The sequence below is a fragment of the Homo sapiens genome, chromosome 17 (genome assembly GCF_000001405.40).
Source record: "Homo sapiens chromosome 17, GRCh38.p14 Primary Assembly".
Classification (NCBI taxonomy): Eukaryota; Metazoa; Chordata; class Mammalia; order Primates; family Hominidae; genus Homo; species Homo sapiens.
Genome location: NC_000017.11, coordinates 29,810,632 through 29,822,263, shown reverse-complemented (window position 1 = coordinate 29,822,263; position 11,632 = coordinate 29,810,632). Strand labels below are relative to the sequence as shown.

The 11,632-nt window shown below is 40.6% G+C and overlaps 1 protein-coding gene across 9 annotated transcripts in view; it reads left to right on the top strand.

Moving 5' to 3' along the window:
- SSH2 (slingshot protein phosphatase 2) overlaps positions 1-11,632 on the top strand; it is a 304,291-nt gene that overhangs the window by 107,965 nt on the left and 184,694 nt on the right. The window lies entirely within an intron of this gene.

Genomic DNA, 11,632 nt, shown 5'->3' with positions numbered 1-11,632 from the left:
CTTAACTTAATGAAGCCAAGGAAGTGCAGTACTCATTTACTAAATGCCAGTCTCAGGTGACCTGGTAAGTCACTTATCACTGGAGATGCTGAAGGGGATGGGCTTGTGTACACAGAGGTAGCAGCATCTTTGAATTCACAGGACAAATGCATTGAATGATAAGACACTGATGAATCTGGTTCCATCTGTGATCATATTAAGTGTGGCCTTTGCCCTTACTTAGCTACAAATTTGACCCAGGTTACTGTTTAGCTCATGTTTCCAGTTTCTTATGACCATGAATTCCAAGGTTTATAGATATTCTTTTGATTCTTAAAATAGACTTGGTTTGGCAGCTCGGGCCTGTAATCCCAGCACCTTGGGAGGCCGAGGCGGGCAGACTACGAGAGCAAGAGATCGAGACCAGCCTGGCCAACATAGTGAAACCCCGTCTCTACTAAAAATACAAAAAGATTAGCTGGGCGTGATGGCGTGTGCCTGTAGCCCCAGCTACTCAGGAGGCTGAGGCAGGAGAATCACTTGAACCCGGGGGCAGAGGTTGCAGTGAGCCGAGATCGCGCCGCTGCACTCCAGCCTGGCAACAGAGCGAGACTCCACCTCAAAAAAAAAAAAAAATAGACTTGGTTATCAGGTTAGTTGATTGGTTGGATTTTTATTCCTTAAAAGCTGTATACTGTATCAGAAGTTTTCCTACTCCATGGTTTTTCATCATTTTTAAGTCCTTACTGATTTTTCCCTTTCCTTACTTAGAATTTTTTTTTTTCATAATTTATTTGCTCCAATAACTCGCTTGTTCAATAAATATTTGTTGAGTACCCATTAAGTGCTTTACTCTTAGTAAATATGGAGCTGGGTGTGATGGCATATGCCTGGAGTCCCAGCTACTTGGGAGGCAGAGGCAGGAGGAGCCCAGGAGTTCAAAGCTCCAGTGAGCTATGATTGCACCACTGCACTCCAGCCTGGGCAACAGAGTGAGACCCCCCTCATAAACAAATAAATAGATAGATAAATAAATAAGATGTGAATGCATGTAATTTATAATACAAGGAAGAAGATAAAGGCGAGAAGAAAGAACAGGACTTTAGGAAAGGAGGGCTTATACCCAGTTGAAGATCAGAGACTTTGAATTTTGCATTATTTTTCTTCCTGAAAAGCAGGAGCCAAGTCTTTGATGAAAGGGGGTCAAAACAAAATATGTTTTTGACTGAGATATTTCCCTGGGATGCAGTGCTAAGAATAACTTGATATGGTTTGGAATTCATGGACTCTTCAGATGCTTTTAGAGGGCATATGAGAGAAATGAAAGTGTCTGGAGTTCTTACGGTTGATTCCCCCAAGTAGAAGAGGCAGAAATTTCTGCATAGTCCAAGTACCCCTGGGAAGAGAGAGGTGACAAGGGGCTGAATTTAATCGAATCTGCACTGCATATGTATTGGAATTTTTATTTCTAGCTAGTTTTCTAGTAGACTTCTTTAGAATTAAAAATCTAAAGTCTACATTCATGGCCTCTGGTTGAGGTGGTCTCCAGGGCAGCACTCTTTGTATCAGAAATTCAGTGTGCATGTTTTGTTTAAATTTGCTTTATTCTGTAAACAGATGATGAGGAATGAAAGGAAGCTGGGGAATACTTTCTAGAAGGGAGTTTTTACTGTAGATAGCATAAGAGTTTAGACATGGGGTATGCTGTCAGTGTGTATGCATTACCAACACCAGAAGTAGTATTGTATTTCCTATTTGTAGTTGTAATTTTACTTTTGCTTATGTGTTCATTTGATTGCTTCTTTCATCAGACTGAAGCAAGGACTCGATCTGTTTTATACCAGCAGCTAGCACAGTGCCTGGAGAAACTTAAGAGATAGCTCTTGAATGAATGGACATGTCCCATGTTCCTGTGGTGAATTAATTTTGCAGAATCTTAGAGTGTTAAGAGCCAATACAGAAACAGATCTTTCTTTGCTCACACAGGCTTTTTAAAGTGAAGTATGAAACAAAAATTAGGTGTTTACAATCTGTGTTCTGCCCTTTAGTTCACATTTACTTTGACTCTTTACATTATTCACATAGCTATTATTATCATTAGGTCTTTAACCAGTACAAGGACAAGAACCGTGCCTTTGGAATTATTTGCCCATCCTCCCTGGTATGAAAATGTGAGGGGACTGGTTCACGTAAAATAGAAAAAATGGCAAACAACAAAGAGCAAGATGAGTACACCTTTTTAAATTTAGAATTTAAAAAGTAGATTTGTTTGACTTCACTGGAAAAATGTTTTTAAATATTTCTTATATTTTACTTATATGAAAATATTTTAAACCTTTCCTTATTACAGGCCAAGAAAGAAGTATTTATGAACTCAACATTGATTAAGTATTATCTATTCATTGCAGTTGTTCTAAAGGCTGAGGATCAGATCTGAATATTTTTACATAGCTTTTATAATTGTCCCAGGTAATGGTCTATTAATGACTGCCTACTTCCCAGTGGATTGTGCATACCAAGTATTCAATTCTGTGACTCCTTAAACATAGGAAAATTGGAAATTATCACTTTATAAAAAGCAGAGTCTCTGTGGAAGCACTTTGGACTGATAATGAATGTGCACGTGTTCACATAATACACATAGATAGAACTGAAAGCTATTCCTGATTTTCTTCAAAGCTTAGTTTTTCTTATTGTTAGTGTCTTAGATCTTGCAGAAAATATAGAACGAAACCATTTTGTGTGCCATCTCAATTTACTCTGATAGTTTGAGAGTTTTTTTTAATCTGCAGCATACTTTATAACTACCATCTTATTCCATATTTTCAGTTGACTATTTATTTTATACAAAATAGTTTTGTGTAATGTTTCATTTTACCAATGCTTAGTAGCCTTGGTTATTCCTTTCATGGGCTGTTCAAGGCATTGTTTATCAGGAAAGTTATGCTTCTTAGGAAATTAGGCAAGTAATATTTCCTGCTAGTTGCTCAAGGAAAGTGTTTACTGACCCCAGGATATGCTTGGGGAATGCTTTTCTACATTTGTGTTTGCTTCCAGGAATTGCATTTTTATGAAATTGCTGGTGCTTTTTTTTTCAATGGCGCGATCTTGGCTCACCACAACCTCCACCTCCCCGGTTCAAGTGATTCTCCTGCCTCAGCCTCCCAAGTAGCTGGGATTACAGGCTTGCACCACCACACCCAGCTAATTTTGTATTTTTAGTAGAGACGGGGTGTCTCCATGTTGGTCAGGCTGGTCTCAAACTCCCGACCTCAGGTGATCCGCCCGCCTCGGCTTCCCAAAATGCTGGGATTACAGGTGTGAGCCACTGCACCTGGCCACTGGTGCCTTTTTTTAAACAAAGAATTAAATTTTTTTTTTTTGTAGAGATGTGGTCTCGAACTCCTGGTCTCAAGCAGTCCTTCCGTCTCAGCCTTCCAAAGTGTTGGGATGGCCAGCTGGTGCCTTTTATTGATTCTTTTAATTTATACATACAGCTAACTCTCTATTGGGACTGTACAAGTTTCTCATGAAAAAAAATATTTAACTAATGACAATAAGGATAGATGTTTTCAAAGTTACTCTCATTTATATTAGAATAAGACATAAAGGAGGGGGCTTCCTATCAGGTGTACTCATCTTGCTCTTTGTTGTTTGCCATTTTTTCTTCCTTTTTCTCCCCAGCTCTGTTCAGTTTTGGGGAGGGGGCAGATCTAGATTTAAGAATACCCTTGGCGGGCTGGGCGCAGTGGCTTATGCCTGTAATCCCAACACTTTGGGAGGCTGAGGCGGGCAGATCATGAGGTCAGGAGATCAAGACCATCCTGGTTAACATGGTGAAACCCCGTCTCTACTAAAAATACGAAAAATTAGCCGGGCTTGGTGGCAGGCACCTGTAGTCCCAGCTACTCGGGAGGCTGAGGCAGGAGAATGGCATGAACCCAGGAGGCGGAGCTTGCAGTGAGCCAAGATCACGCAACTGCACTTCAGCCTGGGCGACAAGGCAAGAATCCATCTCTTAAAAAAAAAAAAAAAGGAAGAATACCCATGGTAGATTCAACCAACCATGGATTAAAAATATTCAGAAAATTTAAAAAATAGCAATACAATAATAAAAAATAATACAAATAAAAATACTGCATAACAACTATTTATATAGCACTTACATTGTTTTATGTATTATAAGTAATCTTGAGATGATTTAAAGTATATGGGAGGCAGGCACAGTGGCTCATGCCTGTAATCTTAGCACTTTGGGAGGCTGTAGTAGGAAGATTGCTTGAATCCAGGAGTTTGAGCCCACCCTGGGTAAATCAGCAAGATCCTGTCTCTACAAAAATAATAATAATAATAATAGTAATTAGCTGGACATGGTGGCACATGCCTGTAGTCCCAGTTACTCTGGAGGCTGAGGCGGGAGGATCCCTTGAGTCCAGGAGTTTGAGCCTGTAGTGAGCCATGATCTCACTGCTGCACTCCAGCCTGGTCAACAAGAACGAGACCCCTACTCAAATAAATAAATAAATAAAGTATACAAGAGATTGTTCATAGGTTATCTGCAAATATTATGCCATTTTACATAAGACACTTGAGCATCCACTCACTTTGGTATCTGAAGGAGGGTCCTGGAAACAATCCCTCATGGATATGGAGGGATGACTCTGTATTACTAATAGATAATGTAGGATAATTAGCAGAATAATATGACTGTATCATCATAGGCTTCCTGTAGTTATTTAGCTTGATTATAAAAATTCTAATGACTTTGAGTATCATGGATGAAGCATATTATGACTCCCTGAGGATGGCAGAAGGAAAGGATTGTATTGAAAAGTTGGTTATAACCATTTCTTCTCTCTTCAAGGGGATAAGATGCATCAATAAAGTGTTCTCAGACTTTAGATCATAAATGTTTTCTAAAGTAATCTCAAGATAAAAACAAAGAAGTCCAAGAAGAGAACTTCATGAGGCTTGTGTAAAATGGGAGGGTAAGGTATATGGGAGCCTTAAGGAAGTAAGAGTGAGGTTGGAGGAGAGAATGGAGAGGACAGTGTGGAAGTTGTTAAAGAAAAACAGTGGATATTGTTTTAAATATGTAGCGGAGCAGCTTTTGAGGTAGCTTTAGTGGTCTGTAAGCTGACAATGCATGATGCTGATTTTCAACAAATTGCAGAGGAAATTCAGATGACAGAGTGCTTCTCAGGAGATTTTACCCTTCTCTATATAATATTTTGTATTCGTGTAGTTTTACTTAGATTTATATTAGTGAGGGAGGTGCTTTCTTATTATACATGAGCTGGTGGGTTGTCAAGGTTAATAGTTCTGTAAGTATAATTAAAATCTTCCTGTATTAAGTTGCCAATTAATTTTTTCTTCTGTCATTTATTTTCATTAATAAAACCAGGAGTGTTTAACTGCAAAAGGCTGTTAGTAATTGGTCTCCTTATGATTTCCAGTGTGTTAGCAAGGATCACTAGCTAGGCCTAATTTATATTAGGGATGAGATCACATTCTGATTTCTGACTCCAAATTTTCTCCTTCATTTCCGTAAATTAAGCATGGAGGCTTTGAGTTTTTTTTTTTTTTAAGTGCAGAATCTTCTTTTTCAGTATTTTGTATTGGAAGCCCAATAAAGTTAAGTGACATGCCTTCAGTCCTAGAACTAGATCAAGGAATTAGACCTAGGAATCTTAAGCATCCGATCTTCTCTTCATATCTACTAACCTACCATACCCCCTAACATTTAGCTTATGTCTTAATTGTTCAATATTAATTAAACACAGGCTTGATTTTAAAGTTACATACAACAATCCTCTGCAGTGCTTCTCAAATCTTTCCACAAGAAATTTCTATAACAGTAGTGGAGAGTGAATAGGCAACCCCTGGCAGTCTGGGTATAGAAAATTTAAAGGAGCCCATTACCTGAATTTTTATGGTTTATTTTAAGCCTTATGTAAATGAATATATCTCTATAGATCTACCTCTATATCTGTTACTATAAAAATATTACTTCCCGTTAAGTAAATTTGATGCTCTGAGAATAAACTTTATATTCGTTCTTTGGCTTCCATAATCCCTACCGCACTGAGGTATGACCCTGGGATACTTGTACCCCAGTTTAAAAATCAGGGCTCTAGGCCAGGCATGGTAGCTCACATCTGTAATCCCAGCACTTTGGGAGGCTGAGGTGGGTGGATCACTTGAGGCCAGGAGCTCAAGACCAGCCTGGCCAACATGGCAAAACCCTGTCTCCACTAAAAATACAAAAATTAGCCAGATGTGGTGGTGCGCGCCTGTAGTCCCAGCTACTCAGGAGGCTGAGACGTGAGATTTGCTTGAACTTGGGAGGCTGAGGTTTCAGTGAGCCGAGATCACGCCAGTGCACTCCAGCCTGGGCAACAGAGCGAGACTCTATCCCCCCGCCCCAGAAAAAAAATAAAAAATAAACAATCAGGGCTCTAGAGAAAAAGGACATTGAATAGGATAGAAAAGATTGTGAATTTGAGCTGAGTTCACATGGCTGTAGCAGGAGATTAGAAGCTGCTGTACAAAGAAGGAGGAAAGGGAGAGTGTCATTTATTTAGGTAGCCAGCCACCTGCCAGCAGAGGCTTTCACTTGTTGATGATCTTCCAACTTATTAAGTCTCTCTTAAAACGTTGGTTAGATGATATGTGTATTCATCTACCTAATACCTCATAAGACATCTAATTAAGAAAAGGAACAGGCTGGGCACAGTGGCTCATGCCTGTAATCTCAGCACTTCGGGAGGCCGAGGCAGGCAGATCAGCTGAGGTCAGGAGTTCAAGACCAGCCTGGCCAACATGGCAAAACCCCGTCTCTACTAAAAAATACAAAAAATAGGGGCCAGGCACGGTGGCTAACACCTGTAATCCCAGCATTTTGGGAGGCCAAGGCGGGCGGATCACGAGGTCAGGAGGTTGAGACCATCCTGGCCAACATGGTGAAACCCCATCTCTGCTAAAAATACAAAAGTTAGCTGGGTGTGGTGGCCTGTGCCTGTAATCCCAGCTACTCGGGAGGCTGAGGCAGGGGATCACTTGAATCCAGGAGGCAGAGGTTGTAGTGAGCTGAGATGGAGCCACTGCACTCCAGCCTGGGGGCAGAGCGAGACTCTGTCTCAAAAAAAAAAAAAAAAAAAATACAAAAAATAGCTAGGTGTGATGGTGGGCGCCTGTAATCCCAGCTACTTGGGTAGCCGAAGCAAGAGAATCGCTAGAACCTGGGAGGTGGAGGTTCCAGTGAGCTGAGATCACACCATTGCACTCCAGCCTGGGTATCAACAGTGAAATTCCATCTCAAAAAAAAAAAAAAAAGAAAGAAAAGGAACAGTAATTTATACATTTTCCCCATCCCTAATTCACTTTCCCATTATAATATATGTAATATATGATCATTGTAGGAAGTTTAGAAAATATAGATGGTCATATATAAGAAAGTAATCATTTATAATTCACATACCAGAAGAAACCTGCTTCTTCCCCAGTAATTATTATTTTCTGCTCATGTTTTTATTTTAAATATATAATACTTAGGCAATATAAGCTAATGGCTTAATAAAGTTCTATTACGTGGCAGTTTTTTAATTTACTCAACTTCCCGGTTTTTGTACATTAAAGTGGCTTACAGTTTGTTTGCCATTATGAATAGTCTGCATAAACCTTTGATGATATCTGATTTCTTTTATTAGAATGCATTTTTCTAAGGTATCAAAAACATGGTCAATACTAAAGCTGTTGATACAGATTGCCCATTTTTCCTGATCCTTCGACAGTATTGCATATTATTGTTTTATCTTAAATGACTTTCTTTTTTTTTTTTTTTTTTTTTTTTGAGACAGAGTCTTGCTCTGTCGCCCAGGCTGGAGTGCAGTGGTGTAATCTCCACTCACTGCAAGCTCCGCCTCCCGGGTTCACGCCATTCTCCTGCCTCAGCCTCCCGAGTAGCTGGGACTACAAGCGCGCCACCACGCCCGGCTAATTTTTTGTATTTTTAGTAGAGACGGGGTTTCACCATGTTAGCCAGGACGGTCTCGAACTCCTGACCTGGTGATCCGCCCACCTCGGCCTCCCAAAGTGCTGGAATTACAGGCATGAGCCACCGTGCCCGGCCTTTTTTTTTTTTTTTTTTTTTTTGAGACGAAGTCTCACTCTTGTCCCCCAGGCTGGAGTGCAGTGGCGCCATCTCAGCTCACTGCAACCTCCGCCTCCCAGGTTCACGCCATTCTCCTGCCTCAGCCTCCCTAGTAGCTGGGACTACAAGCGCGCCACCACGCCTGGCTAATTTTTTTGTATTTTTAGTAGAGACAGGGTTTCACCATGTTAGCCAGGATGGTCTTGATCTCCTGACCTGGTGATCCGCCCTCCTCGGCCTCCCAAAGTGCTGGGATTACAAGCATGAGCCACCAAGCCCAGCCTTTTTTTAAATTTTAATTTAATTTTTTTTTTGAGATGAAGTCTCGCTCTTCTCTTCCAGGCTGGAGTGCAGTGGCGCAATCTCAGCTCACTGCAACCTCCACCTCCCGGGTTCAAGCGATTCTCCTGCCTCAGCCTCCCAAGTAGCTGGGATTACAGGCACCTGCCACCACGCCCGGCTAATTTTTGTATTTTTAGTAGAGACGGGGTTTCACCATGTTGGCCAGGCTGGTCTCGAACTCCTGACCTCAAGAGATCCTCCCGCCTCGGCCTCCCAAAGTGCTGGGATTACAGGCGTGAGCCACCGTGCCCGGCTGCTTAAATGATTTTTTTAGGGAAAATATAGTACAGCATCCTTGTTTGGATTTTTGTTTTTTAAATTTTTTGTTTTATAAATTTCTAGCTAAACATTTTCACTTCCTTTTCATTTGTATTTCTTTTGTGAATTATCTGCTTCTAGTCTTTGCCTTTTTTACAGAGTCTCACTCACCCAGTCTGGAGTGCAGTGGTGCGCAACCTCAACTCACTGCAACCTCCGCCTACAGGGCTCAAGCGATTCTCCTGCCTTAGCCTCCCAAGTAGCTGGGATTACAGGCGCTCACCACTGCGCCCGGCTAATTTTTGTATTTTTAGTAGAGATGGGGTTTCGCCATGTTGGCCAAGCTGGTCTTGAACTCCTGACCTCAAGTGATCCACCCGCCTCAGCCTCCCAAAATGCTGGGATTACAGGCGTGAGCCACCGTGCCCTGCCCCCATTTTTTTATTGGTGTTTATCTTTTTCTAATTGGAATTCCTTGTTCGTTGAGACTATTAATTCATTCTTTTATATACGGTGAAAATCTTTTCGTTGGACTTTAAATTTTGTTTTTTATTTTTATTTTTTCTTCTCCCTCTCTCTGTATACACTTTTGGTTTTGAATATATGGCATGGTTGGTTTTTTGTTTGTTTGTTTGTTTGTTTTTGTGACGGAGTCTTGCTCTGTCACCCAGGCTGGAGTGCAGTGGTGTGATCCCGGCTCACTGCAAGCTCCGTCTCCTGGTTCTCGCCATTCTCCTGCCTCAGCCTCCCGAGTAGCTGGGACTACAGGCGCCCGCCACCATGCCCAGCTAAATTTTTATATTTTTAGTAGAGACGGGGTTTCACCGTGTTAGCCAGGATGGTCTCGATCTCCTGACCTCGTGATCCACCCGCTTCGGTGTCCCAAAGTGCTGGGATTACAGGCATGAGCCATCGCGCCCGGCTGGCATGGTTTTAAAATGCATAAATAGGCTGGGCGTAGTGGCTGACACCTGTAATCCCAGTGCTTTGGGAGACCAAGGCAGGAGGATCGCTTGAATCCAGGAGTTCAAGACCAACCTGGGCAATAGAGTGAGCTGTCATCTCTACAAAAAATTAAAAAGTTAGTCAAGCATGGTGGCATGTGCCTGTAGTCCCAGCTACTCAGGAGGCTGAGGTGAGAGAATCACGTGAGTCTGGGAGGCAGAGGCTGCAGTGAGCCAAAATTGTGTGACTGCACCCCAACCTGGGCAACAAAATAAGACCCTATCTTCAAAAAAAAAGGCAGAAATATATATTTTAAAAAACATAATTGTGTGAAGATACTAAAAACATTGAATTGTATACTTTTAATAGGTGAATTGTATGGTATATGAATTATTTCTCAATAAGACTTAAAAAAAAAAAAAAAAAGAACACATACTATGGCCAGGTATCAGGGTATAAAAATAAGACACAGTCCCTGTTTCAAAAGGTTCACAGTTTAATGAATGAGTCTTTTTTTCTTATTTTTCATGAGGGTTAGAGATAAGTATTACCACTTGCTCCCTGACAACAGTTCTTATGTTGGATATATGTAATCTCCTCTTTTATATAAAAATCATAAATATATTTAAATGTAAATTAAAATAGTCGATAGAAAATCAAACTCTTTAGATATTTTTATACTTGAGATTATACAAATTCTTAGAGAATTAGGTGGTGAAGCTTGCATTAAATTATTTGGTTCATGCCTGTCCCAGCATTTCAAGAGGCTGAGGTAGGCAAATTACTTGAGCCTAGGAGTTCAAGACCAGCCTAGACAACATAGTGAGACTCTGTCTCTACAAAAAATAAAATTTAGCTGGGCATGGTGGTGCACACCTGTAGTCCCAGCTAGTTGGGAGGCTGAGGTGGAAGGATCACTTGAGCCCAGGGGTTCAAGACAACAGTAAGGTATGATCGCAACAGTGCACTGCAGCCCGGGCAACAGAGCTAGACTCTGTCTCCAAGAAAAAAAAAAACTTGTGGTTCACATTTCATTTATAAGTATTTCTATCTTATTTGTGAGTGGAAGCACTTGTTTACGTAACTTCAATGAATAGCTTTTTACATTTTTACTCTTTGAAAAGTGATTATTAAATGAAAAAATATATAAAAATTTATTTTTTAAAACTGCAATAAACCAGTTAATATCAAAATAAATATATAGAAATGATTTGCTATTGTATATTGCCGGCAATAACCATTATATATTACGTAATATATAATATAATCAAATGTAATATTAAAAAGTTCCTGGCCAGGTACAGTGGCTCACACTTGTAATCCCAGCATTTTGGGTGGCTAAGGAGGATGGATCACTTGAGGCCAGGAGTTCAACACCAGCCTGGCCAACATGGCAAAACTCCATCTCTACTAAAAATACAAAAATTAGCCAGGTGTGGTGGTGCGCACCTGTAGTCGCAGCTACTCGGGAGGCTGAAGCAGTAGAATCGCTTGAACCCAGGAGGCAGAGGTTGCAGTGAGCCGAGATTGTGCCACCGCACTCCACCTTGTGCAACAGAGCGAGACTCTGTCTCCAAAAAACAAACAAAAAAAGAATTTTCTTGGGCCACATATAAAATACACTAATGATAGCCGATGAGCTGAGAAAAAAAATTACAAAAAAAAATCATAATGTTTTAAGAAAGTTTACGAATTTGTGTTGGGCCACATTCAAAGCCATTCTGGGCATGGGTTGGACAAGCTTGTTCTAAAGGGATTTTTAGGGTGTTGAAAACCTAACAAAGTCATTTGGAAGACTAAGTGGGTGAAATTGTGCACTCAAAATTAAAAGATGAGATTCTCACAGTCACATATTGAAAACAATTATAAGCTAATAATAGCATGGTGTACAAGAAAGATGTTGCCTAGAAGGCCCAGAAATAGACCTTAGTACATGAAAATATTTAGTGTATGATT